Below are 24,922 nucleotides of genomic sequence, written 5' to 3'. Positions count from 1 at the left end.
ACCATATTCTCCTTTCAGTGGCATAAGGGGATATTTGAGGAACATTATTCAAGCCAAGTGTTTTTCATTGTCCATCAATATGCGTAAGCTTTAAGACTTTCATAACACGGGCTATATTTTGCTAACAGTAGAAACCCAAGTCCTTCATAGAGACTAGATGGGTTTTGTAGAAGCAAATCAATCCTTGCCGTGGCGAGGTGCTTTTCTGATTTCAAATATTTTAGCAGAAGGCTGTCTAGCTCCTAGTAGAATTCGTCCACTGCTCCTAGTAGAATTCCTCCACTGTTCTGTTCCAACCCTTTCCTGCCCCAACACTTCATTCACATGGAATCAGCAGAGCCTGGAGACAGCATGGCTTGGCCTTTGCTGATCTGGTGTGCTGGACAGAGGGAGGTAGACGGCATGGGCAGCAGTTTCTGATCCTTGTAATCCTTGTTCCCAATATGTCACCTTGGGAGCATCACCAGCACACACACACTCTGGACATAGAGCACAGGCAGGAGCCACTCACTGGTGATGACCCTGTTTCAGACTTTGTCCGGCCTCCACCCCTGCCACATTCCGGAGTAGCTGACCACACCTGGAAGGACAGATAATGGAGACTACTAAAAGGAAAACAAGTCTATAAAAGAGAATGGCATGGGCATTCCATTGATACACACTTTGAAATGCACCTGGCTCAGAGAGCCACATGTTCTCCACTCTGTAGGCCAGCTAGGTGGGAAGCCAAAGTCTCCAAAATTGGCCTTCTGGAATCACAGCAAGGGGAGGGTTGAGCCTGTGAAATTTTCAACCCACATAAGCCCCAAAGAGGTTGGCCCGACCAAGAAATGTGAGTGTCCACATCTGGTGGAGCAAAGCACTCTCTCCAGTCTGTGTGAGGATGGACTTGGTCTACGCTTGCCTTTCAGATGACCTAACTTGAAGCCTCCAAGCCCATCAATCCTCCTTTGCTGACATTCTTCTTTTACGTACTTTCATGCATTCATTTTCTCTCTCTCAATCCTGTGACCCTGGGAGGCCATTTGTGTCTTTATATGAGCTTCCTGTCTCTGCTCCAACTCTTAGCATTGGATTAACAACCCTACTCTCAGGGAATAAGCAAGCACCTCTATTTCCAAGTTCTCAGAGGGCAGATGTCCAGCCATTCTCGGATTCCAGCGGGGAAGTGAGTCCAGCTCACCTCACTCCTGTGGCTCAATTGCTTTTATGATGCTGTCACTGACTGGGCAGCCAGGGAGTGTCCAGCAGGATGAAGGGTCCTTTGTGCTGCCCTTTCTGCAGAGGGAAGCCAGCTTTGACAAGACCCTACTGCCTTTAAAACCTCATCTTCTCTGCAGTATTGTATCATAGCCTTTTGCTAAAAAGGGAAATGAAATTACTCTTCAAGCAGAGCTGTCTGAGATATTGGATTCATTTAAACGTATTTTTCATTACTTTTCAGACTAAGCCTTCTCTTCCGTGTCTCTGCAAAGCCTGGACAAACCTATAGCAGGAGGTTTGCAAGGATTTCACACATTGCCTTAACTATTGAATCATGACTTTACAAGTCATCATTCTTTGTTGCAAATTACAAAAACCCAATTCACACGGGCTTATGTAAAGAAGAGACTCTGTTGGTTGTGAGATTCTTCCATTTTCAGGCATGGCTGGATCCAGGCTTTTAAACTTCACCTGCAGAAAGCCTTTCTCCCTGTGAGGCTTTCTCCTGACAGCTCCAGGCTCACATTCTACCAGCTCTACACATTCATCACAAAGAAAGCTTCTCTTTAATAGTGTGAGTAGGATTGCCAGATTTAGCAAATATTTGGAACACATCATTGATGATCCAAAATTCAGTTCAACTGAGGTTGTCCTTTACTGACAACCTAAGTCCCATATAGGTCCTAGGATTGAATCTGGGCAATTTGGATCCTATACCCATCCTAGACCCAATCACAGTGGTCAACAGAATGGGATATGTCAGCTGGCAGGCCAAAGTCACCTGCCTATCCCCAAAAGGAGGGGAGCACGGTCAACCCTGTAGTCCACATCCACCCATAGTGCATGTGGTAATCCACAGTACTAAAGACACTGATCCTCGAAGAAAGGGGACTGAACCCTGCAAAGGCAAAACCAACAGACGCTCACTAAGGTGACTTTGAAAGTCCCAGCCGGGTGCAGTGGCTCATGCCTGTAATCCCAGCACTGTGGGAGGCCGAGGCAGGCAGATCATGAGGTCAGGAATTCGAGACCAGCCTGGCCAATATGGTGAAACTCCATCTCTACTAAAAAAAATACAAAAATTAGCCCAGCATGGTGGTGGGCGCCTGTAGTCCCAGCTACTCTGGAGGCTGAGGCAGGAGAATCACTTGAACCCAGGAGGCAGAGGTTGCAGTGAGCTGAGATCGTGCCACTGCACTCCAGCCTGGGCAACAGAGCAAGACTTTGTCTCAAAAAAATAGAAATAAAAAAAGAAAGTCCCAGACAACAGTGAAAACTATAAAACTTCATGGTGGTTGTATGGCATTCAAGAGCTTAAAAGCACTTCCATGCCATTGTTTCCTTGTGGGTATTATAATCATTCCCTGTATTAATTTGCTAGGACTGTCCCAACAAAGTACCACAGTCTAGGTGGCTTAAACAACGGAAATTTATTTTCTCACAGTTCTGGAGGCTGGAAGTCCAAATTCAGGATGTTGGTAGGGTTGGTTTCTCATGAGGCCTCTCCCCTTGGCTTGCAGACGGCCGTCTTCTCCCTGTGTGCCCATGTGGTCTTCCCTCTGTAACTGTCCCCTCTTCGTATCAGGACACTAGTCATATTGGATTAGGGTCCACCCTATAACCTCATTTTAACTTAATCATCTCTGTCAAGTCCCTGTCTGCAAATGCAGTCCCATTTTGAGGCACTGGGGGTTAGGGCTTCAGCATATGAATTGGGGGTGCAGGGGGAATGCAAGTCAGCCCCTAGCACTCTCGCTCTCATTTTTTTCTTTTATGTAAGGAAAAGCACAGTGAGAATAGTCTTCGCTTGTTTCCAATCCCAGGGCTGATTTAGCTGTGGAACTCCACCCAGTGCTGGTCCCCGCTGTCCCCACCCCACCTCTGCAAACACGGGTGCCCACCCCCGCCAGCCGCCAGGCTCCCTGCCTAGTCCCGGCACGGGACCTTCACGGTCCCAGCACCAGGCACAGAGCAGACAACGTTCTTGAAATAAGTGTTTCGTGAAAAGAATGAAACTGAGAGGGAAAGAAAAAAAAAACTAGACAGTTTTAGGAGATTTAGCTCAAAGGAAAAGAGGACAGGCACAGAAGCTCCTGATTTGAAGCGATAAAGACTCTTTAGAACAGCAGAAATGAGGCCTATGGATGTGTAAATGAGCCCGGGGAGGAACTAAGCAGAAGGGCGAATTACAAAACAGAAAAAGACCAGACAGACTAGGGGAGAACAGTGAATATTTCAGTGTCTTCGGTTCATAAGAAATTCATGAGCAATTTTGGAAATTTTGTTGGTTTTGGTGGTGGGAGAGAATTGTAAATATGTATAATATGTAAATATCTTTTATAATAAAAGCCCATGAAGATAAATGAGCCTGTCTGCCGAAAAGCTGTGAGCCGTATAAGATGTTAATATAACTGTCGTCACTCTAGAAATTACCATAATGCTTACAGGGATTTGAAAGTTCCTGAGCTTTGGAAGGAAATGCATAAATACTAAACAGAACACACACACACACACACACACACACACACACACACACACACACATCTCTTTTTCTTTCTCTTTCTTATTTTTGTAAAAACAATTTTTATCCTTTTTTTTTTGAGGAGTCTCGCTTTGTTGCCCAGGCTGGAGTGCAGTGGCACAATCTGGGCTCACTGCAACCTCCGCCGCCCGGGTTCAAGCAATTCTCCTGCCTCAGCCTCCTGAGTAGCTGGGATTACAGGCTCCCGCCACCACGCCCGACTAATTTTTTCGTATTTTTAGTAGAGATACGGGGTTTCACCATGTTGGCCAGGCTGCTTTCGAACTCCTGACCTCAGGTGATCCGCCCACCTCGGCCTCCCACAGTGCTGGGATTACAGGCGTGAGCCACTGCGCCCAGCCCTTTCTTTCCTTCTTTCTTTTTCTTTCTTTCTCTTTCTTCCTCTCTCCCCTCCCGCCTGCCTTCCTTCCTTTTTTCCTTCTTTTTTTTCTTTCTTCTTTTTTTTTTTTTTTGTGAGGAAGGTAGCTTTAGTGAAAACAGGGTTTGGAGTTGAACCTATACGGGTTCAAATTCGACTTCCGTCCACCACCGAGACCTGCGCTCCCTGAGGGACTCGCTTTCCCATCCGCGAAACCAGGACGGCGCCGCCTACACCCCGCGGCGTTCGGGGCGGGCTGAATGGGTCGCTGAGTGGGGGCTACACCCACGCCCTTCGCTCCCCGCCCCCGGGCGGAGCGACGGCCACGGCAGTGTCCCCAAGGCACCGAAACCGAGGCGGGGGTCTCGGTCCCTCCGCGCAAGGAGGAAGGCGGACCGTACGTGGCAGGACTCACCGCCCCGCACGTGGCAGGACTCACCGCCCCGCGCCGTGTTCTCCGAGCCATGGCGCCAGCGCTGTGGCGGGCCTGCAACGGACTCATGGCCGCCTTCTTCGCGCTGGCGGCCTTGGTGCAGGTCAGGCGGCCGCGGTGGGAGGGGGACCCGCCCGGCTCCCAGCTCCGCCCCCTGGCCTAGCGGGCCGTGTAACTGACTAGCGGGCAGAGTCGCAGGGGCGCACAGTTAGTGGGGAGGACGGGACTTGGGCTTTCTGCTTGGGGAGCCCCCACTTTCTCCCCCGTCTAAGAGACGCGGATGTGTTCATGGAAGCGAGTCCCATACCAGGGCTCACACCCTGGAAGGGGCTGGTTCCGCGCGTGGAACTTCCCAGGGGACCTCAGAAGAAGCGGCCCTGGCTCCTGCGTTAACGTCCGGCCCGCGGACGACACTGAACATATCTCAGGGCCTAGGAGACGAAGCCGACCAAAACCCTTTATAGCATCATTAAACTTTTTAGTCGGCTTGGGGACCCCCTTCATAATCATTTCCCTCATTTCTTGAGACTGGTGGGGGTGGAGGGCCCTTAAAATACCCGTTCTGGGTTGGCGAGTCCTCTCCAGAGCTCCCGTGAAGGCTTTTCAAAAATGTGTGGCTGCCTGTTAAAAACATCTGTTGTGTCAGCCAGAAACCCCTTCACCCGTCCTCATCTGGACTATATCCTGTTCAGATTTTGTACCCTCGATGCCTATTGCAGTGTCTGGCACTTAACAAATTAATAAAAAATGTGCTTAAATGAATTTAAAAGGAATGGAACAGCACAGGATGTCTGCTAACACCTTGGTATTCTGGCGTTCCAGGTAAATGACCCAGATGCAGAGGTGTGGGTGGTGAGTATGAGCCGCTTCCAGGCTTTCCTCCGTTTGGAAGAATTGGGGAACGGCACAAAACACACGGTTTTATGTCTTTACCCCTCCTCCCTGCTTAATTTTCTGAGAAACTTAAAAATCAAACCCTTGGGAAGCGCTTTTTCCTAAAATATTAATAGGCAGGATCAGAGTTCTAATGTAATGTGTGTGTGAATTTCGAACTTTCTGGAAACAGGTCTTTCTGCAGTATTCCCTTTGGTTAGATGGCCCAACTGAGGACTTTCTTGAGGACCTAGAGTAGGCCTCTCAAGATCAGTTGAACAATTCCTTATGAGTTTCTAGCCAGACACTCAATGCAAACCTTTGACCGGAAAATAACAGGCTTAAGTTCTGAGGTTCTGCTAATTCAGTGACTTATATTTCTAGAAAGTATTAACTCCTGGCTGGGCAAGGTGGCTCACGCCTGCAATCTCAGCACTCTGGGAGGCCAAGGCGGGTGGATCACTTGAGGTCAGGAGTTCTAGATCAGCCTGAGCAACATGGTGAAACCCCGTCTCCACCAAAAAATACAAAAATTAGCCAGGCGTGGTGGCATGCGCCTGTAGTCCCCAGCTACTAGGGAAGCTGAAGCAGGAGACTCGCTGGAACCCAGGAGGCAGAAGTTGCAGTGTGCTGAGATCGTGCCACTGCACTCCAGTCTGGGCGACAGAGTGAGACTCCATCTCAAAAAAAAAAAAGCAAAGAAAAAAAAGAAAAAAAAAAAGCAAAGAAAAGTATTAAATCCTGTAAAACCTACAGTCTTCATATAAGCAAGGCTCTGATTTGAACCATTTGGAGGAGGGGGCCATTGTTCCATACATCTTCTAAATATCTTTTTTTTTTTTTCTTTTTGAGACGGAGTTTTGCTCTTGTTGCCCAGGCTGGAGTGCAATGGCGCAATCTAGGCTCACCGCAACCTCTACCTCCCAGGTTTGAGTGATTCTTCTGCCTCAGTGTCCCAAGTAACTGGGATTACAGGCATGCGCCACCACACCCAGCTAATTTTGTATTTTTAGTAGAGACAGGGTTTCTCCATGTTGGTCAAGCTGGTCTTGAACTCTCGACCTCAGGTGATCCACCTGCCTCAGCCTCCCAAAGTGCTGGGATTACAGACATGAGTCACCGCGCCCGGCTCTAAATATCTTTTATCTTCCAAAATATCTGAATTTTGCCCAGTTTCTCTCAATATAGATACACAAGACTGTACAGTACACCAAGGAGATGACTCTTAAGCTTTAGAATAATATTGACAGAGGAGCAACAAGGATGATGGTATCTGGAATTATAACATGAAATTCTATCCAGGTTTTGTTTTTTTAGTGCAGTAAAACCACATTCTGATATTTACTATCCAGATCAGTATGCCTCTGAATCAAATCAAACTGCCTTTGCCTTGGCACCCTGGTCCGTATCTTGAATTCCAAATATTATTTCCCTGCAGACAAGTCTCAGACATCCAGCTTAATGGTGAATTTCCAAAAGACTGCTGCGTATATTCACCTGCATGTCACACTGCTCCTCAGATATGCCCAAGGACCTACCTAGCATCTTTCCCTCCAAAATCTACTTATCCTGACTCACCCATTTCTGTTATCAGCAGAATCATTCTCTGAGTCATTCTTGTTCAGAATCTCAGTCATCTTTATCATCTCTCTGTTCCTTACCACTGCCTTGGAGAGCCCCTCAAAACACAAAATAAATTTGAGTCGGGCATGGTGGCAGGCATCCGTAGTCCCAGTTACTCAAGAGGCTGAGGCAGGAGGCTCACTTGAGCCCAGGAGTTCGAGGCCAGCCTGTGCAACATAGCGAGACCCCCCCCATCTCCAAAAAATTAATTAAACAATCGAGGTCTAATTGCTTATCTCTATAGTACCTGCACATTTTACCTTTCATTCATGCTCAGACGATATAATAGGAGGAATAGACCCCATGTCCCCATAGACATCCTCCCTCATTCACAGTTCAGCCCTCCACTACCTCCCACATGGACCCCTGGCACCTGCCTTAACATCTTCTGATATAAGCACAGAAATTGATGTGATTAGACAGCTACATTGTTTGGAAAGTCCCCATCCTTCTTATAAACCCACCCTCCCTACTTATTCCCTGCCAACAACACACACAATAGTAAGTTTGGCTAGAGCCTGCTTGTTATGAACAAGGCTTAGGAATAGGGCCTCTTTAGGGCTAGTCTTCTCATTTCCAAACACTTATCAGCAGTTCCAAAATGAAGAGCCTGACCTTATTACTGGGCACAGCTGATTGTGTATGCATTATTAGAAAACTTTCTGTGGTCTCACAGAGATGCAGTACTGGCCTGGATGGTCCATTGGGTCCAAAGCCAGCAGGGCCATCTAGCATCGTGGCTGCTCCTGCCCTACTTTTCAAAGAACATTTTCTTTTATGCAAGTGGGGAAAGGCCATTTGGGCATGAAAGTTGCTTGGGAGCGACTGGAAAGTTAGTGTGTCTTAAGACCAAAACCCTGTGCTCAGTGTTAGAGCTCAAAGATAAATGAGCTTCTGGAATAGCCTATAGTCTAGGAGGAAGGTAGATAAAATTGCAGGCAGACGTGCTAAGTGCCACAAAAGGAGAATCTACCACTTTCTCAATCACCATTGAAACTTAGAGGCAAATCATGGGGCACAGCAGCCACTGATCTCATCTTTCTTTACTTCCTGTATCTCTGAACATCTCATATATTGGGCATACATCTTAACTCATGTAATTTCCTCCCTTTTTGCTAACAGGTGGTGTACACAATCCCTGCAGTACTGACCCTGCTTGTTGGACTTAACCCTGAAGTCACAGGTATAAGCCTTGCATTCTAAATGGAGAGACAGCAAATCAGATTTCCTCATAATAATGAGGGTCTATCTGCCCAACTCCCAGGAGTAAAACGGGGCTCTCTAGGCCTTTCTTCTCATTTCTGATAATAAAAGGGGCTAATTCTAATCATCCTTACCCATCTTCAGGAAAACGTCAGAAGGATCTGCTATAAAACAGCGTCTTCTGTTTTATAGAAGTGAGAGGACAGATTCTTCTTCACTTTCTTTAAAACAGTTTCTCCTAGTGGGGCTCGAATGTTCTCAGGGGCCTTAGAATAAAGACTAATGAGTCCCACCTTAGTGGGGAAAATTCTAGTTCCCTAGATGCCTGGGCTCCTTGTATAGGCAGCTAGAACTCCGTCTGCATCTTTAAGGTAGATCAGTTAGGGCTCCTTTAGATACAAGCTAGAAAATAACTCAAATGTGCTATGAGCTGAGAAGAAAAGGTATTGGTACAGTTTACTGAAAAGGTGAAGGGTGGTGCTGGCTTCAGACTGGTGGACTCGGAACTTTACCTTCTCTCCACCTCTCAGTTCCACCATCTGTCATGCTAACTTCACTCTTGGGCTCCACACAGTGGCCCTGCAGCCCCCCATTCACATCTTCACGATGCCACGTCCAGTGGAATATGGACTGTGTTTCTTCACTCTACCAAAGTCTCAGAATGCAGTTGCTGGCTCTGATTGCTTGTCCGTTTGTGCTGATCCAAATCACTGTGGCTGAGGAGATAACATGTATTGATTGACCTAGCCAAAGTCCAGTTCACTGGGAAACATGGACTGTGAGTGTGGACATGGTGGATCCCCAGAGAAAATAAGGGTAATCATCCTAGGAAGGGGAGCTGCTGAACAACCCAAACAAGAAATGGCCACTGAAGTTTATAATTAGTGCTGTGACCTCTGTGTTGTCCTAAAACAAAAAGGGGCGATGGGGCTGAGGGAGTCTGAATGTCTTTTCTGAAAGCAGACTATGGCAAAACATACAAAAAGATCATTTTTTTTTTCTGTGGGCTGTGATTCCGTGGTTAACAACATCAGAACATCTATTTTTAGGTAATGTTATTTGGAAAAGTATCTCTGCAATACACATACTCTTTTGTACGGTGTGGGCTGTTGGCTTGGCGTCCTACCTCTTGCATCGTACACAACAGAACATCTTACATGAGGAAGAAGGCAGGTGAGCGGTGACGGTTACCCTGTGGAGGGATAGAACTGTGGGATAGAACTAAGGAATCGTGTTTGCAACACCTCATCTGTGCACAATGATAACTGAATTCCCCCAGTGTACCCTGTGGAGGAGGCAAGGTATTATCTTCTTTATAACCTGATGAAACTGAGGAAATAATGGAGCCAGGATTCAAACCCAGCCCCATCTATCAGGCTTCATTATCACTGCTAGTGGCAGTCACTACATATTACATTATATTACTGTCAGGCCGTTGGACTTTGGCCCCCTTGTAACTAGCAACGGTATGATACAGTAATACTCAGTCCGATCTAATATGGTGATAACTCTGTCAGCCTCAAATTCAGTTCTGGTTTAAGCCAGAATCTTATCTACAAGTATGAGCAGCCATCTCAGAGGTCAGTCCTTTTTTTTTTTTTTTTGAAACGGAGTCTTGCTCTGTCACCCAGGCTGGAGTGCAGTGGCGCGATCTCTGCTCACTACAACTTCCGTCTCCCAGGTTCAAGCTATTCTTCTGCCTCAGCCTCCTGAGTAGCTGGGATTACAGGTGCGTGCCACCACGGCCAGCTAATTTTTGTATTTTTAGTAGATACAGAGTTTTATCACGTTGGTCAGCCTGGTCTTGAACTCCTGACCTCGTGATCCGCCTTCCTTGGCCTCTCAAAGTGCTGGGATTACAGGCATGAGCCACCGCACCCAGCCAAAAGATCAGTACTTTAAGTCAACCTGTTAGACTTGCCCTGGTATGTCTTGTGTCATTTCCTTGTCATGACCACTTGCTCCTATTTTATCACCTCTTCCTTTGCTTCCTCCCACCCTTGTCTCTGAGGACTTATTAATAGGTCCTTTTGTTTCTTTTCTACTCCTACTGCCATCTGCCAACAACAAAATTCATAGACCTGTAAGTTAAACATCACTGAAAAGGTGTTTCTTTGTTATAACCCCCAATCTTTAGAACACTGGAGAGCCAAACTATAGGTTGGGTCTGTAGATAAGAATGTAGACCAAATGGGTTGAATCACTTCCAGCATGAAGCCCATGGGTTATAGTGAACTCAGCCTGGGGCTTCTAGTGGTATTATGGCTGAAGTGATTGTTTTTTATTCTATGTAAAAGATATGTGCATATAATACATATTTATAGAAGCATATACCCACCCCCAAATTATTAGTCTGATTTGTACTACAAATCATTCCTCTCCCCTAGGAAGTGACCCAATCTCTTGTAGTATATACACAGATCATGTATTGGTTTGGGCTCATTCTGCCTCACACTGAAGCCTCTTTAAAAATGTAAAAGTATTGACTGATCAAATCTGGGATTTTCTTAGTTGCACTGTTTCTTCTAGCGACCTGAAAAAAGTGATGTATCTGTGGATTTTATAAAATATTCATTTCATTTTGGGGGGATCCACTTATAAATCAGGGCATAGTCAGGGATCTCATACCTGCCTTTTAAGATGAAATGTATTTTCATATGAGGCTTTAAATTCTCTGAAAAAAGTAATTTATGAATCATGGTCAGATTTGAAAATATTCCATCGATGCCATAGATCTTGAGGGAGAGTCAGTCACTCAATCAGAATGCGCTATCAGGTGGTCATGGAGAGAATGTGATGATATGCATCTCACTTGTAGCCACTTCCAAAATCTGAAATGTACACCCTTTTATAGGGAGCTGTCTGGTCTGGTGATTATTACAGCATGGATTATCCTGTGCCACAGTTCCTCAAAGTAAGTATTCAACTCATCACATCTTCACTTTGGGAGGCCGAGGCGGGCAGATCACGAGGTCAGGAGATCAAGACCATCCTGGCCAATATGGTCAAACCCTGTCTCTACTAAAATACAGAAAATTAGCCCTGTGTGGTGGCACGCGCCTGTAGTCCCAGCTACTTGGGAGGCTGAGGCAGGGGAATCGCTTGAACCCGGGAGACAGAGGTTGCAGTGAGCCAAGACTGTGCCACTGCACTCCAGCCTGGGCGACAGAGCAACACTCTCTCAAAAAAAAAAAAAAAAGAAATCACATCTTCGAGGCTGACAAAATCAGGTAGTAAGTGAAAATACTGCCATACAAGTAAAAACAGGAATCTTTTGAAAGAAATCTTCCCTTTTCTTAAGGGAAGTTAATAATAGTTGATTTAAAGTATCCTGGTCACTCTTGTCCACAAAAACCGTAGTTTTCTACAAGGCCCAGTATAGTCATGGGCAGTTGTCAGCCTAAAGGGTGTTCTTCAGGGTGAAGGGAAATGATCTCAGGAGGAAACTTAGAGATTCACGAAAGAATGAAGAGCAAAGACAATATAAGTGCGTGTGTACATATCGATGAATGTTAACTAATTAAACATATACAGGATAGAAATACATGACAACAGTGGCATAAAAGCTGGAAAAGAGTAAATGGAGTTTAAGCATTCTAAGGTCCTTTAATTGTGTGAGAAGAGATAAAAGTATCCATTTATATTAAACTTTGATAAGTCAAGGATTAATGTTGTAATCATTAGGGTAACCACTGGTAGCATTAAAATGAGTACAGAAGGCAGGAGAAGGGGAAGGGGAAACAGAAACAATAGGACAAATAGGAAGCATGTGTTAAGATATAGATTTAAACCCAAATATATCAGAAATTACATTAAATGTAAAGGTAAAGATTTCAGTTAAGAGTCAAAGAATCTCAAAGTATGTAAAAAGATTAAAAACCCAACTCTAGGCCAGGCGAGGTGGCTCACACCTGTAATCTCAGCACTTTGGGAGGCCGAGGCAGGCGGATCAACTGAGGTCAGGAGTTCGAGACCAGCCTGGCCAACATGGCGAAACCCCGTCTCTACTAAAAATACAAAAAAATTAGCCAGGCGTGGTGTTGGTCACCTGTAATCCCAGCTACTTGGGAGGCTGAGGCAAGAGAATCGCTTGAACCCGGGAGTCGGAGGTTGCAGTGAGCTGAGGTAGTGCTGTTGCACTCCAGCCTGCGCGATAGAGCAGGACTGCATCTCAAAAAAAAAAAAAAAGAAAGAAAAACCCAGCTCTACACTGCTTAAAAAGACAACCCTTAACTGTACTGATATAGAAAGATTTAAAGTCAAAAGATGAAAAAAAACTACAAACACCAGCCAAATGAAATACAATATTGCAATTTTAACAACAAAGTAGAATGTAAGACAATTATTGGAGAAAAACAACTTTTTGTGAATATTTTTAATTTTTTGTTTTAACTTTTTATTTTGAATTTTCAAACATATATAAAAGCAGAGAGACTAATATCTTGAATCAGATATACTCATCACCCAGTTTCAACAATTATTGGTATGTCCAATCTTGTTTTATCTGAACCTTATCCACGCCACACTGCCAAACTATTTTTTTTTTCTTTTTTTTCTTTTTTTCTTTTTTTTTTTTTTTGAGACAGAGTCTTGCTCTGTTGCTCAGGCTGGTGTGCAGTGGCGCGATCTTGGCTTACTACAACCTCTGCCTCCCGGGTTCAAGCAATTCTCCTGCGTCAGCCTCCCAAGTAGTTGGGATTACAGGCAGGTGCCACCACATCCAATTTTTGTGTTTTTAGTAGAGACGGGGTTTCACCATGTTGGCCAGGATGGTCTCAAACTCCTGACCTCAAGTGATCTGCCTGCCTCAGCCTCCCAAAGTGCTGGGATTACAGGCGTGAGCCACTGCACCCGGCCAGTTTAAACATATTTAATGTGTTTCAGTCCGTGACAGTTATTGTCTTTATTGATGCTCAGACTGTCCCATTTTTGTCCAGTGGCACTTATTCAGGTCTGCTCCTGAATTCTTTCTGACATGACCCTAGTAAACCTTTGATAGCTTCCTTGCTTTCTGGTATGACAAGATGTTCCAGGCGCATGTTATACCCAGGATCATGTTTTAGGCCACAGACCTGGAATCAACAGTGTTTGCAATGTTCGTGAATTCATATATATGTCATAAATGTATATGCATACATAAATATATACACGTACACATATACATTTAAAGTTAAGATGTCTTATGAGTTTATACTAACTACTCAAATTCAGAGGTACCAGTTCTTATTAACCTTATTGAACATTTTATATCTGGATCTCCTTTTAATCATGGCAAAATTTCTAGTCTCAGTGACCTCAACATAATCACCCATTTGATTTATTCTACAATACAAATGCAATCTCCAAATGATAATATGACTACTGAAAACAGGTTCTCTTGTTTGTTTTTGTTATTAGGATATAACCTACTAAGGGATGTACACTCAAATTACTGGGCATAGTGTTCTGTATGCTAATCCCACCAAGTAAATACACAGTTAGATTCATTTATTTCTAGGGCTAATTGTATTGAAAATATATTGATATTATTTTATAATTATGTAAAATATCTACATGGCTCAAAAGTCAAATCTATAAAATAAGATATATTAAAAGAAATTCGGCTTCTCCAGCCCCCTGACCCTATAGCTTCCCTTTCCCTATGGGGGAAAATTTTTTCAGTTTTATAGTTTATCCTTCCATGATTTTTCAGTGGAGCAAATGTGTGACTTAGTTGTATTCCTGCTTATCTAAGGTAACTGGCAGTGTATTGTACACAGTTGTATTCCACTTGCTTTTCCAGTTACTACATCCTGGAGATCATTCTATAGTATAGAAAAACTTTTCTTACTCTGCTGATGGCTCCATAGCTTAATCAACCAGTTCTCTACTATTTAGATAGTATCCAGGCTTTTGCTATTAAAAATAGTGCTGCAGTTAATAGCCATATGCATATATCTAACATATTTTTACCAGTGTGTCTTTGAGATAAATTCCTGGAAGTGAGACTACTGGGTCAAAGTGTAATTGCATAGTTCATATTTCTATATACTCCCGAATTCCCCTCCAGATGGCTCTTCCATTTTGCATCCCAACCAGCCATGGCTAACAGTGTCTGTTTCCCCATAGCCTTGCCAGCAGAGTATGTTATCAAAATCTTGAATTTTTACTAATCGGATCGTTGAGAAAGGGGTAGTTTTAGCTTGCATTTCTCTTATTAAGAGCAAAAGTGAGCACATTTTCATATGGTTCAGAGCCATTTATATTTCTTTTTCTATAAAAATCTTGGTCTATCTCTGAGCAATGTAGGTTTAACCTGATTCTAAGGTTGCTGGTCTTCTCTATTTTTAGAAGCTCTATCTGTGATGTAAGCTGAAAGTATTTCTTTGCAGTTTGTTATTTTCCTTTAACTTTGCTTATGCAAAGTATACTTTGCCATGAAAAAGTCTTTTGTTGTTGTTTTTTCATGTAATTGTATTTATCAGTCCTTTTCCTTATTGCTTCTGGATTTGGAGTCATAGTTAGGAAAACCTTCTCTCTCTCAGGTTGTAATGTAACTTACCCAAGTTTTCTTCTAATACCTGTATGGTTCCATTTGTACATTTAAATATTTGATCTGTTTAGAATTTATCCTGATGTAGGCCGGATGCGGTGGCTCACACCTATAATCCCAGCACTTTGGGAGGCTGAGGCGGGCAGATCACAAGTCCAGGAGTTCGAGACCAGCCTGGCCAAATGGTGCAATCCTGTCTCTACTAAAAATACAAAAATTAGCCGGGCATGGTGGCGGGTGCCTGTAGTCCCAGCTACTTGGGAGGCTGAGGCAGGAGAAACCGGGAGGTGGAGGTTGCAGTGAGCCGAGATCGCGCCACTGCACTCCAGCCTGGGAGACAGAGAGAGACTCCGTCTCAAATAAATAAATGAATAAATAAATAAATAGATAGATAGAATTTATCCTGGTGTAATGTTATGAAGAACATGTCCAATTTCATATTTTTCTATGTGGCTATCTGGTTATCTCAACACCACTTATTAGAAAGTAGATTCAAGATGCCAAAGGAAGACACTTTTTAATGACAAAAGATTCAATTCATCAAGAAGATATAACTGCTAAATTTGTATGGACCTAATAACATAGCTTCCAAATAGAACAAAAATTGACAGAGCTAAGAAGAAAAATGGAAAAAGCCACAATCATCTTGGGAGACTAACACACCTCTCTCAGTTACTAACAAACAAACACAAAAAAGAAAAATAACAATATAAAAGATTTTAACCACACAATAAACCAAGAATGGCAGGATACACATTCTTTTCAAGTGCACATTGAGTATTTTACAAAAAGACTATATGTTTGGCCATGAAATAAGTACTAACAAATTTTAAAGGACTGAAATCCTACAGAGTATGTTATTTGACCACGGTGCAGTTAAGCTAGAAATCATTAACAAAAAGATAATTAGGCAATTCCTGTGTATTTGGAAGTTAGGAAATATACTTTCAAATAACACTTGGGTCAAAGAAGAAATCACAATGGAAATTAGAAAATATTTTGAACTGAATAAGGTGAATACTACATATCAAAATGTGTGAGATGCAGCTAAAAATCATGCTTAGAGGGAAACATATAGACATAAGTACATTTTTTTTTTAAGCTTCCAGGAAGTTAGGAATTTTTCATTTCAAGAAGTTAGGAAAAGAACAGCAAGTTAAACCCCAAAGAAACAAGAAAATAAACATAAAAGCAGAAGTCAGTGAAATAAAAAATCAACATAAAAATAGAGAATTAACAAGGTCAAATATTGATTCTCTAAAATGATTTATAACATTGATAAGCCCTGACAAGACAAAAAGGAAAAAAGAGCACAAGGAAGTACAAATAACAAATATCAGGAATAAAAAAGAGAATACTACTATAATAACTATTGTAAAAATCATAAGTGGATATGATGAAGAACTTTACACCAATAAATTTGAAAATACAAATTAGACAAATTTCTTGAAAAAATACAGTTTACCAACATTTACATAAGAATAAATACTCAGAACAGTCCCATAACTATTAAAGAAATTGAGTTCATAGGGCCGGGCGCCGTGGCTCACACCTGTAATCCCAGCAGTTTGGGAGGCTGAGGTGGGCGGATCACCTGAGGTCAGGAGTTCAAGACCACCCTGGCTAACATGGTGAAACCCCATCTCTACTAAAAATACAAAAAATTAGCTGGGCATGGTGGCGGGCACCTGTAATCCTGGCTACTCGGGAGGCTGAGGCAGGAGAATCGCTTGAACCCTGGAGGCAGAGGTTGCGATGAGCCGACATCACACTGTACTCCAGCCTGGGTGACAAGAATGAAAGAAACTCCGTCTCAAAGAAAAAAAAAAATCGAGTTCATAATTTAAATTTTTCCTAAAGGAAAACTCTAGACCTAGATGGCATAGCTGGAGATGTCTACATAATATTTAAGGAAAAAAATAATACCAACTTTCAATAAATACTTCCAGAGAACAGAAAAAGAAGAAACACTTTCCAACTAATTTTATGAGGACAGGTAACCAAAACTTGACAAGAACATGACAAAAAAATGAAATTACATGGCAGTCTCACTCATGACCACAGATGGAAAACTCCTAAACAACACATTAGCAAATCAAATCCTGCAATATATAACCCAACTACCAAGTTGGGTTTATTCTAGGAATGCAAAGTTAGTTTCACATTACAAAAACCAACCAATGTTTTCCACCACATTAATGGAATGAAATAAGAGAATAAACTATCTTCTAGAGCCATACAGAAATAGCATTTCATAAAATTCAGCATCCATTTATGTTAAAAGCTCTTAGAAAATGGGCGTAGGAGGGAACTTAACCTGATAGAAGATATCTACACTGAAGCCTGAGACTTAATGGTGAACAGTTGAAAACTTTCCCTCTGAGATCAGGAATGAGATGAGGCTGGCCATATTGCCACTTGTACTCAATGCCATGCTAGCTATTGTCCCAGCTATTGTCCCAGCCGGTAAAATAAGGCAAGAGAAAGAAATAAAATGCCCAATGATTGGACAAGAAGAAATAAAATTTTCATGATTTGTGGGTGATATGAATACATGTGTAGAAAATAAAAAAGAATCTAAAAAATTACTAGAATAAGTGAATTTTGTATGATCACTGGATCAGGATACAAGAGTTAACTGCTTTTCTGTCAGGAAGTAACAGAAAGTGATAAAACAAAAAGTTAACATTTATAAAAACATTCAAAAAATCCACTCCGTAGGAATAAATCTAGCAGAGATATGCAAAATCTCTACACATAAAACTATAACACATTATGGGAGAAATTGAAGAAGACCTAAATAATTGGAGGGCTAAACATATAATGACAAAAGGATGAATAAATAAAATGATAGAACAATAGAATTTAGAAACGGATCTATACATATGTAGGGTTTTGACTTATGGCAAAGATGGTACTTCAGGGTAGCTGAGAAGGCAGTCTTTTCAATAAATAGGCTAGGATAAATTCAATGTCCATTTGGAAAAAAGTGAAACAACCCCTACTTTCCAACTTTCATAAAAATCAATTCCAAGGGGATCACAGGTCTATTATAAAAAAGCAAAACAGAGTGTTGGGTGCAGACCGCGGTGGTGCAGCTTTCTTTTAGAAGTTCAGTCTCAGTTGTCTTTTGCAAGCCATGAAGAGTGACTTTTATCTGCGCTACTACGTGGGGCACAAGGGCAAGTTCAGCCACGAGTTTCTGGAGTTTGAGTTCTGACCGGACGGGAAATTAAGATAAGCCAACACAGCAATTACAAGAATGATGTCATGATCAGAAAAGAGGCTTATGTACATAAAAGTATGATGGAGGAACTGAAGAGTATAATTGATGACAGTGAAATTACCAAAGAGGATGATGCGTTATGGCCTCCTCCCAACCGAGAGGGCCGGCAGGAGCTTGAAATCATTATTGGAGATGAACACATTTCTTTTACAACATCAAAAATTGGTTCCCTTATTGATGTCAGTCAATCCAAGGATCCAGAAGGCTTATGAGTATTTTATTATCCTGTCCAGGACCCTGAAGTGTTTGGTCTTCAGTCTTACTGGATTACACTTCAAGATTAAACCAATCTAAACTGAATATTGATGTGGACATGGGGGGGTGGGAGTAGTTTTTAATTACCATTATCAAGAACATTTTGTGTCAGGGCAGTATATTTTTATAAACTATAAATGATTATCTTTAATAAATATGTGATAAAATTTAAAAAAAGCAAAACAAAACTTCTAGAGAATACCTTCAAAACCTTGGTGAGGGAAATTCTTAAACAGCACAAAAATCATTAGGAAAAGATCAACTTTAACATTGTCAAATTAATCAATGACTTCTCTTCCTCAAAAGACATCAAATGGGACAAGGTATTTGTAACACATATAAACAAGGATTTATATTTAGCATATATATAAATAATTTCTATAAATCAATGTTATATTTCAATAAAACAACTGAGATGAGAACATACTAAAATGTAATTATGTGTTTTATCAATTCAGTCTTTATACTTGTTTCCAAAGCAATCCATGATTTTTATTTATAATAATTTTTGTGTCTTTATAGGAATCCAGTTGGTGGAAGAATTCAATTGGCTATTGCCATTGTAATCACACTTTTCCCATTTATCTCATGGGTCTACATATATATTAACAAGGAAATGCGGTCCTCTTGGCCAACTCACTGCAAGACAGTAATTTAAATAAATTCAAGAACTTCGTTTTTAAAATGAATATTTTCAATCAATTTTTTATAAACATTAGGGGAACAAGCCAGGAGTTTATTTCAGGTAATTTGGGCTAATAGTTTTAAAACTCCAAATAACTTTTTAAGGGTGCATATAATTCGATGTAAGATTGGATGGGACAAGTAAGAGATGGTCTGATATTTTCCAGACGACTTTCTGCAGGGTCTTGTGTCATAATGTAGTGGAAAAGGCTAGAGAATAGAAGTTTAAAAATACGAGTTCTAACTTAACTTTGTAACTATGTAATTTGGGCAAATATATAAACCTCCTGGTGGATATTTATCTATAAAATAGGATTAATGCCAGATCTACTTACTTACACAGTAACAAGGATCAATCTAGATAATGTAAGAACACTCTGAAGATATAAAGTGTTTGGAAAGATTACGGAGGGCTGCCCATGATTAAAATAGAGGGGAGCAGGGATTGGGTAATATACTGAAATAGACATTCAAGAGAGGGCTATACCCCGATCTTTTTTTTTTTTTAAGACAGTCCCACTCTATTGCCCAGGCTGGAGTGCAGTGGCATGATCATGGCTCACTGCAGTCCTGACCTCCCGGGGCTCAGGTGATCCTCCTACCTCAGCCTCCCAAGAAGCTACGACTACAAGTGTGCACCACCATGCCCGGCTAAATTTTTTTAAATTTTTTGTAGAGGCAGGGTTTCACCGTGTTGTCCAGGCTGGTCTTGAATTCCTGAGTTCAAGCGATCTGTCCACCTTGGCCTCCCAAAGTGCTGGGATTACAGGTGTGAGCCACCATGCCCAGTCCAGCCCTAAACTAATCTTATCCAGAGCTGGCATAGTGCAGTGAACTAAAGGAGAACTCTAGATGAATCAAATGAGCAGGCATGTCTTGGAAAGAAAGGGAAGCTGGATAGAATAAAGGAATTAGGGACCAAACAAGAAGGCAATAGGGACTATAACTACATTCTAAATGAGAAATAAGGTCAAAATCTATATACATTCTTTATAAATGGATGTCCAAAGTAATCCTAGGGAGGAGAGCTTTTTTTTTTTTCATTTCCATTTTCATTTAAAAATGGATACTTGATTATTGGAAAACTTACAATTGTGTTTGGAACAACTTGGGTATTTGAATCTAATTTTCCAATTGCAAATTTTATGATACCTAAATACAGATAAAGTATTTCCAATGAAAATTTAGTGTCCAAATGAGTGGGGCTATAAATGTAAAATACACTGGATTTTAAAGACATGGTAGAAAAAGAACAGAAAATATTTTTTGTATTGATTACATGTTGAAACAATATTTTGGCTATAATGGGTTAAATATACTATTAAAGTTGATTTTATCTGTTTCTGTTTACTTTTATTTACGTGGCTTACATTGCATTTCTGTTGGACAGTCCTGTATTTAAGTATCTAGATGGCAACATTTTACATACACAAGCATCAAACTCTGTGGTCAGATACTGTTTTTTCTGATCTAGGAAAGAGATCTGGGAAATACTTCACTCAAAAAGAACGAGTAGTGCCTTCCACAGGTTAGGAGAGTGTAAATGAGTCTGGTAGTTTGTCTATTTTTATTGTCTTTATTACTATAGTAAATATTCTATAAATATTTGTTAAAGGAGGTATGTGTATTTTGTTTTTGTTATTGGCACAGTGGCCACTGAATGGTGAGAAATTATCTAAGATTAAGACTTGAATGAGTAAAAAGGGGGAAAACAAATCTAGTTGATATTAAAACAGTCAAAGTGAAACTTAAGGGTCAGTAAAATACACATAAAGGATTTGAGTTTTCCAGTGTATATTTTGCTTACATATTTGTGGCTTTTATAACTCCTTTAGTATTAATAAACTACTGAAGTCACATGCAAAAAAAAAACAGACTCATTTGCAAATTCCCTGTGGGCTCTATCCATTGACCAAGTCATGTTTACTTCTGTGCTTAAAGACAGTAATGTTCAAGATGTGCTTTCATCATGTATGCCTCTCCCATATCAGACTACGAAATTATGTGACTATTCATAGTCTCTTTCGCATCTTCAGTTAAGCATATAAAAGGCACTTTTGGTGGAATAGTCTTTTGAAGAGTATTAATGAAATTGAATTTAAGTATTATTATTAAATTTAATATTTCTATTATTAAAATCTTTTTTTTTTTTTTTTGAGATGGAGTCTTGCTCTGTCCCCCAGGCTGGAGTGCAATGGCGCGATCTCAGTTCACTACAATCTCCACCTCCTGGGTTCAAGTGATTCTCCTGCCTTAGCCTCCCAAGTAGCTGGAACTACAGGCACCTGCCACCATGCCCAGGTAATTTTTGTATTTTTAGTAGAGACGGGGTTTCACCATGTTGGCCAGGCTGGTCTGGAACTCCTGACCTAAGGTGATCCACCCACCTCGGCCTCCCAAAGTGCTGGGATTATAGGCATGAGCCACCATACCCAGCCTCTATTATTAAAATCTTTCACACCTTCACATTTTTCTTCCATTTTTCTCTATTTCACACAAATCTAATCACGTATTCCCCAGCTCAGAAAGCCCTAAGGGCTCCACACTATCTGGCAAGTTAAATTCTAACTCTTGGCTCATCATTCAAGGCTCTCCATAATATGGCCCCAGCCTGTCCTTTTCTGCCATATTTCTTGCCACATCCCCCTTCTCCCAGCCCGGCACCTTTCTGGTGAATCGTCACAGCATGACTTGCCATGTCTGACTTTGGCATATCCTTCAATGCCTCTGCTTTTGCTATTTTACTTGATATACTCTTCCCCACTTATTCAAGCCATTTTTCTTCATTTTGCATGTCATCCCCAATCCCTTCGAACAAAATTAAATTCATCCTCCATGTTCCCTCAGTCCTTTCTTTGTGTGACAGCAAATTTCACACACTTGAATCATGGATGTCTGTCTAATTCATGGTAAGGTCTATGAGTGCAAGAGTACATTATAGTCACCTCTGTGGTCAGCTGAACAGTGGCCCTCAGAGAGATACATGTCCTAATCCCTGGATATATGTTACCTTATATCACAAAATAAATTTTGCAGATGTGATTAACCCACCCTGAGATGGGGGTTACCTGGATTATCTGGTTGGGCCCTGAATGTTACCACAAGTGTCCTTGCAAGACGAAGGCTGAAGTAGATCTGACTACAGACAGCAGAGAATATGATACGACAGTAAAGAAAGATTTGAAGATGCTACACTGCTGGCTTTGAAGACAGAAGAAGGGGCCATGAGCCACAGAATGCAAGAAGTACAGCTCTGGAGGCTGGAAAAGGATTCGTCCTAGACCCTCCTCAGGGAGCATGGCCATGCCAACACCTTGGTTTCAGCCAAGTGGAAATGATTTCAGACTTCTGACCTCCAGAACTGCAAGAGAACAAGTATATGTTGGTTTAAGTCGCCAGGTTTGTGGGAATTTGTTACAGCAGCCATAGAAAGCTAACACTCCTTTATATCCCTATAGTGCCCATGTATTCAACAGGCATGCTTATTTCTTATAGTTGTTTAGGCCCTGAATCAAACTTTCTCCACACCTGAATAGTCCCCATTTGCCATCTAATGTTTCTACACATAAGCCTTAGCATATATGAAAACGGTGTTAAACATGTCCCATTAGTGTATAAAGGGAGTCAGTGTAAATTTATTTACCTGCTGTAGCTTCACACAGCAATGGCTGGTGGCCCAAACAGACCAGGCCAGGTGGCACATGGCTGCACTGCCACTTGGTCCTATGAATCCCAAGAGGACTACATGACTTTTCTGGAGGCCCTTCTTACAGGGATGGGAGTGCCACACGCTTACCCGTGAAATAACTATTGGTAATTTTGTTTACAAAATGGGAATACAAGCCTATAAAAATCCAAGTATAGGTGTTCTGAGCAGAAATTGTCCAAAGCTCATTTACACAGCAGGGTGAATAGAAAAAGCTTACCTGAGCTTATATGCTGAACTTGAAGTTACATAGTTAACACATGTGAATACAATCTCCTTGTAAAAAGTTAAAAAAAATCAGGTAGGGCCAAATAAGATCCCTCATGAGGACTATATGCCCCTTATGAGGACTATACACCCCTGCCTCAGTTTCCTCCCTGGTTTGTTTCTAACTTACAATGGATACATGATCCAAAATAACATTTCTGAGTATTTTATCAACCATCACACACTGAAACTATAAATACATTTTGTTATGCAAGCTGAATACTAAACAATGAGACAGAGGATTTTTATTTTTTTGTTTAGGAGGGACAAACACAAAGCTCATTTTCTATCAAGTTAAAATAAATTAGACTAACAATGGAAGGCTCTTTCTTTCTTGTAATTCATAATTCTATCTGGAACTCTGCCTCTCCCTTTCAACATCATTTTGTCAGGATAGACATGAACTGTGCCAAAGGCTTGGCTGTCTGGAGCTGTTTCAATAACTCCTTCTAGGTTGACGTGGTATACACCAAAAGGATCCTCAGAGTAGCCACCATCATGGGTGTGACCAGCAAAGAAACACACCACACACTCATGAGACCAAATGACTGCCAGGGCATCTCTGTAGTTCCAGGCCAGGCACACATTGTCAGAGGCGTCCGGGTAAATGGGAAGATGGCCTGTTAGTTAAAGAAAAGAAGAGTTATGAGCCAATTAAGAAATATCTCTTCTATAAAAATAAATGGCTAAAAGCTAGTACTCAGAAAAAGAAAAAAAAATTGCTATCTCATTATGCAAATGAACTGAGACCAGAGAGAATTCACACACAAGAAAACTAGGCCATCTACAGCCACATCTCTGGAGCATAGAAGAAGGGTAAGACAGTTCACATGAGGCGCGACAGGCTGCTGTAGAGGCAAAACCCTGAATCTCTGAGGCCTACGTCATCTCAAGTTGCCGAAACACCGAGGAAGATCAAGGGTGTCCTATGCAGGGCAGTCTGCAAAGGCAGCCTGAAACTGGGCAGATGCTGTGCTGGAATCCAATCCAATTGATTTCCTTAAATATGAATGTTATATACACAGAATGATGTAACACTAAATAAAAGAACAGGCTGGGTGTGGTGGCTCATGCCTGTAATCCCAACACTTTGGGAGGCCAAGGCAGCCGGATCACCTGAGGTCAGGAGTTCAAGACCAGCCTGGACAACATGGTGAAACCCTGTCTCTACTAAAAATACAAAAATTAGCCAGGCGTGGTGGTATGTGCCTGTAGTTCCAGCTACTCGGGAGGCTGAGGCAGAAGAACTGCTTGAACCCGGGAGGTGGAGGTTGCAGTGAGCCAAGATCACACCACCACACTTCAGCCTGGGTGACAAAGCGAGACTCCATCTCAAAAAATAAAAATGTAAATATAAATAAATAAACAAACAGTTTAGGCATGGGCCATGGATTATGTGTCATTGACATAAACAATGCCTCCGAACTGATTTATGGGACTTTAAACACTCATGAGATCAAGGTAGCCATACCCACTTTTCAGATGAAAAACTGAGTTAAAACAGGGAAGATTTATACTGGCATCCACAGGAGATACGTGGAAGTAGAGTTAGGAGAAGTTCTAATTTCTGACAGCAACACATCTATGATCAAGCCACGGTTCTCACTCTGAAGTACAGCTCACGTTGCATCTTCCCATTAAATCACTTTTTGTCTATTACCGTTCATTTTTATTCCAAAATTTAAACATGCTTCTATTTAATATCTGTTTGTAATACAATTTTTTTTTTAAAGTGCATACATGTGCTGATTACCACCTTAGGGCTAAGCGTCCAAAGGCGTGTGCTGCTTTCCAGCACCTCGAAGCCATATTGACTCATCTATCAAGTCCCTGCAGCATTTGACGCCATTAGTTGTTCCCTTCTCCCTGAAACACTTGGATTCCAGGACACCACTGTTTCTCCCAGGGGTGTCTTTCTAGTTTTTCCCCAACTTCAATGGCCACTAATTTCCAGTCT

General features: G+C 41.7%; 2 protein-coding genes, 1 long non-coding RNA gene and 1 pseudogene across 13 annotated transcripts in view, besides 7 other annotated features; 2 read left to right on the top strand and 2 right to left on the bottom strand.

Annotated features, from left to right (window-relative positions):
* Positions 1-4,642, bottom strand: part of TMEM220-AS1 (TMEM220 antisense RNA 1) — an 85,388-nt gene extending 80,746 nt beyond the window's left edge. For 2 of the 4 annotated variants that reach the window (NR_073458.1, NR_073457.1), the window contains exon 1: positions 4,519-4,642. This is a non-coding gene — a long non-coding RNA (TMEM220 antisense RNA 1). Of the gene's footprint in view, positions 1-511; positions 581-4,518 lie in introns of all 4 variants that reach the window. The other 2 variants (NR_073455.1, NR_073456.1) reach the window with 2 other exon arrangements.
* Positions 189-374: a silencer, noted in NCBI's record as "fragment chr17:10637362-10637547 (GRCh37/hg19 assembly coordinates)". NCBI's record gives its function as "represses an EF-1alpha promoter that drives an FKBP-Casp9 reporter gene in an ReSE screen in K562 erythroleukemia cells {active_cell/tissue: K562}" and the evidence as "EXISTENCE:reporter gene assay evidence [ECO:0000049][PMID:32094911]".
* Positions 3,771-4,357: an enhancer, noted in NCBI's record as "H3K27ac hESC enhancer chr17:10633379-10633965 (GRCh37/hg19 assembly coordinates)". NCBI's record gives its function as "activates a minimal SCP1, AML or CMV promoter by ChIP-STARR-seq in primed H9 embryonic stem cells {active_cell/tissue: H9 hESC(primed)}" and the evidence as "EXISTENCE:reporter gene assay evidence [ECO:0000049][PMID:30033119]".
* Positions 4,338-4,577: a silencer, noted in NCBI's record as "silent region_8203". NCBI's record gives its function as "represses an Ori minimal core promoter by ATAC-STARR-seq in GM12878 lymphoblastoid cells {active_cell/tissue: GM12878}" and the evidence as "EXISTENCE:reporter gene assay evidence [ECO:0000049][PMID:35858748]".
* Positions 4,338-4,944: a biological region, named in NCBI's record as "H3K27ac hESC enhancer GRCh37_chr17:10632792-10633378".
* Positions 4,358-4,944: an enhancer, noted in NCBI's record as "H3K27ac hESC enhancer chr17:10632792-10633378 (GRCh37/hg19 assembly coordinates)". NCBI's record gives its function as "activates a minimal SCP1, AML or CMV promoter by ChIP-STARR-seq in primed H9 embryonic stem cells {active_cell/tissue: H9 hESC(primed)}" and the evidence as "EXISTENCE:reporter gene assay evidence [ECO:0000049][PMID:30033119]".
* On the top strand, positions 4,396-23,286 carry TMEM220 (transmembrane protein 220). Of its 7 annotated transcripts, XM_017024616.2 has the most exons (7): positions 4,396-4,639; positions 5,359-5,388; positions 8,155-8,215; positions 9,285-9,408; positions 11,090-11,149; positions 21,152-21,293; positions 22,029-23,286. In XM_017024616.2, exons 1-7 carry the CDS (start codon positions 4,568-4,570, stop codon positions 22,032-22,034), a joined length of 495 nt encoding a protein of 164 aa, XP_016880105.1. In that variant the 5' UTR covers positions 4,396-4,567; the 3' UTR covers positions 22,035-23,286. The 7 variants fall into 7 exon arrangements, with proteins under 7 accessions (XP_016880105.1, NP_001346576.1, NP_001004313.1 ...); NM_001359647.2 differs by lacking the exon at positions 5,359-5,388; NM_001004313.3 differs by lacking the exons at positions 21,152-21,293; positions 22,029-23,286 and adding an exon at positions 18,831-21,124.
* Positions 4,588-4,757: a silencer, noted in NCBI's record as "silent region_8202". NCBI's record gives its function as "represses an Ori minimal core promoter by ATAC-STARR-seq in GM12878 lymphoblastoid cells {active_cell/tissue: GM12878}" and the evidence as "EXISTENCE:reporter gene assay evidence [ECO:0000049][PMID:35858748]".
* Positions 17,837-18,476, top strand: MAGOH2P (mago homolog 2, pseudogene; annotated as a pseudogene). Its single transcript, NR_049723.1, has one exon. The product of NR_049723.1 is annotated as a mago homolog 2, pseudogene (transcript).
* Positions 21,277-21,477: a silencer, noted in NCBI's record as "fragment chr17:10616259-10616459 (GRCh37/hg19 assembly coordinates)". NCBI's record gives its function as "represses an EF-1alpha promoter that drives an FKBP-Casp9 reporter gene in an ReSE screen in K562 erythroleukemia cells {active_cell/tissue: K562}" and the evidence as "EXISTENCE:reporter gene assay evidence [ECO:0000049][PMID:32094911]".
* Positions 22,861-24,922, bottom strand: part of ADPRM (ADP-ribose/CDP-alcohol diphosphatase, manganese dependent) — a 13,965-nt gene continuing 11,903 nt past the window's right edge. Inside the window, exon 4 of the mRNA NM_020233.5 lies at positions 22,861-23,585. Within this exon, the coding sequence (NP_064618.3) occupies positions 23,275-23,585 (311 nt within the window). The 3' untranslated portion in view covers positions 22,861-23,274. The remainder of the gene's footprint in view (positions 23,586-24,922) is intronic.

Source organism: Homo sapiens, chromosome 17, assembly GCF_000001405.40.
Source record: "Homo sapiens chromosome 17, GRCh38.p14 Primary Assembly".
In the NCBI taxonomy this organism is placed as follows: Eukaryota; Metazoa; Chordata; class Mammalia; order Primates; family Hominidae; genus Homo; species Homo sapiens.
Note: the sequence above shows the minus strand (reverse complement) of the source record. Positions and strands in the feature narration are given on the sequence as shown.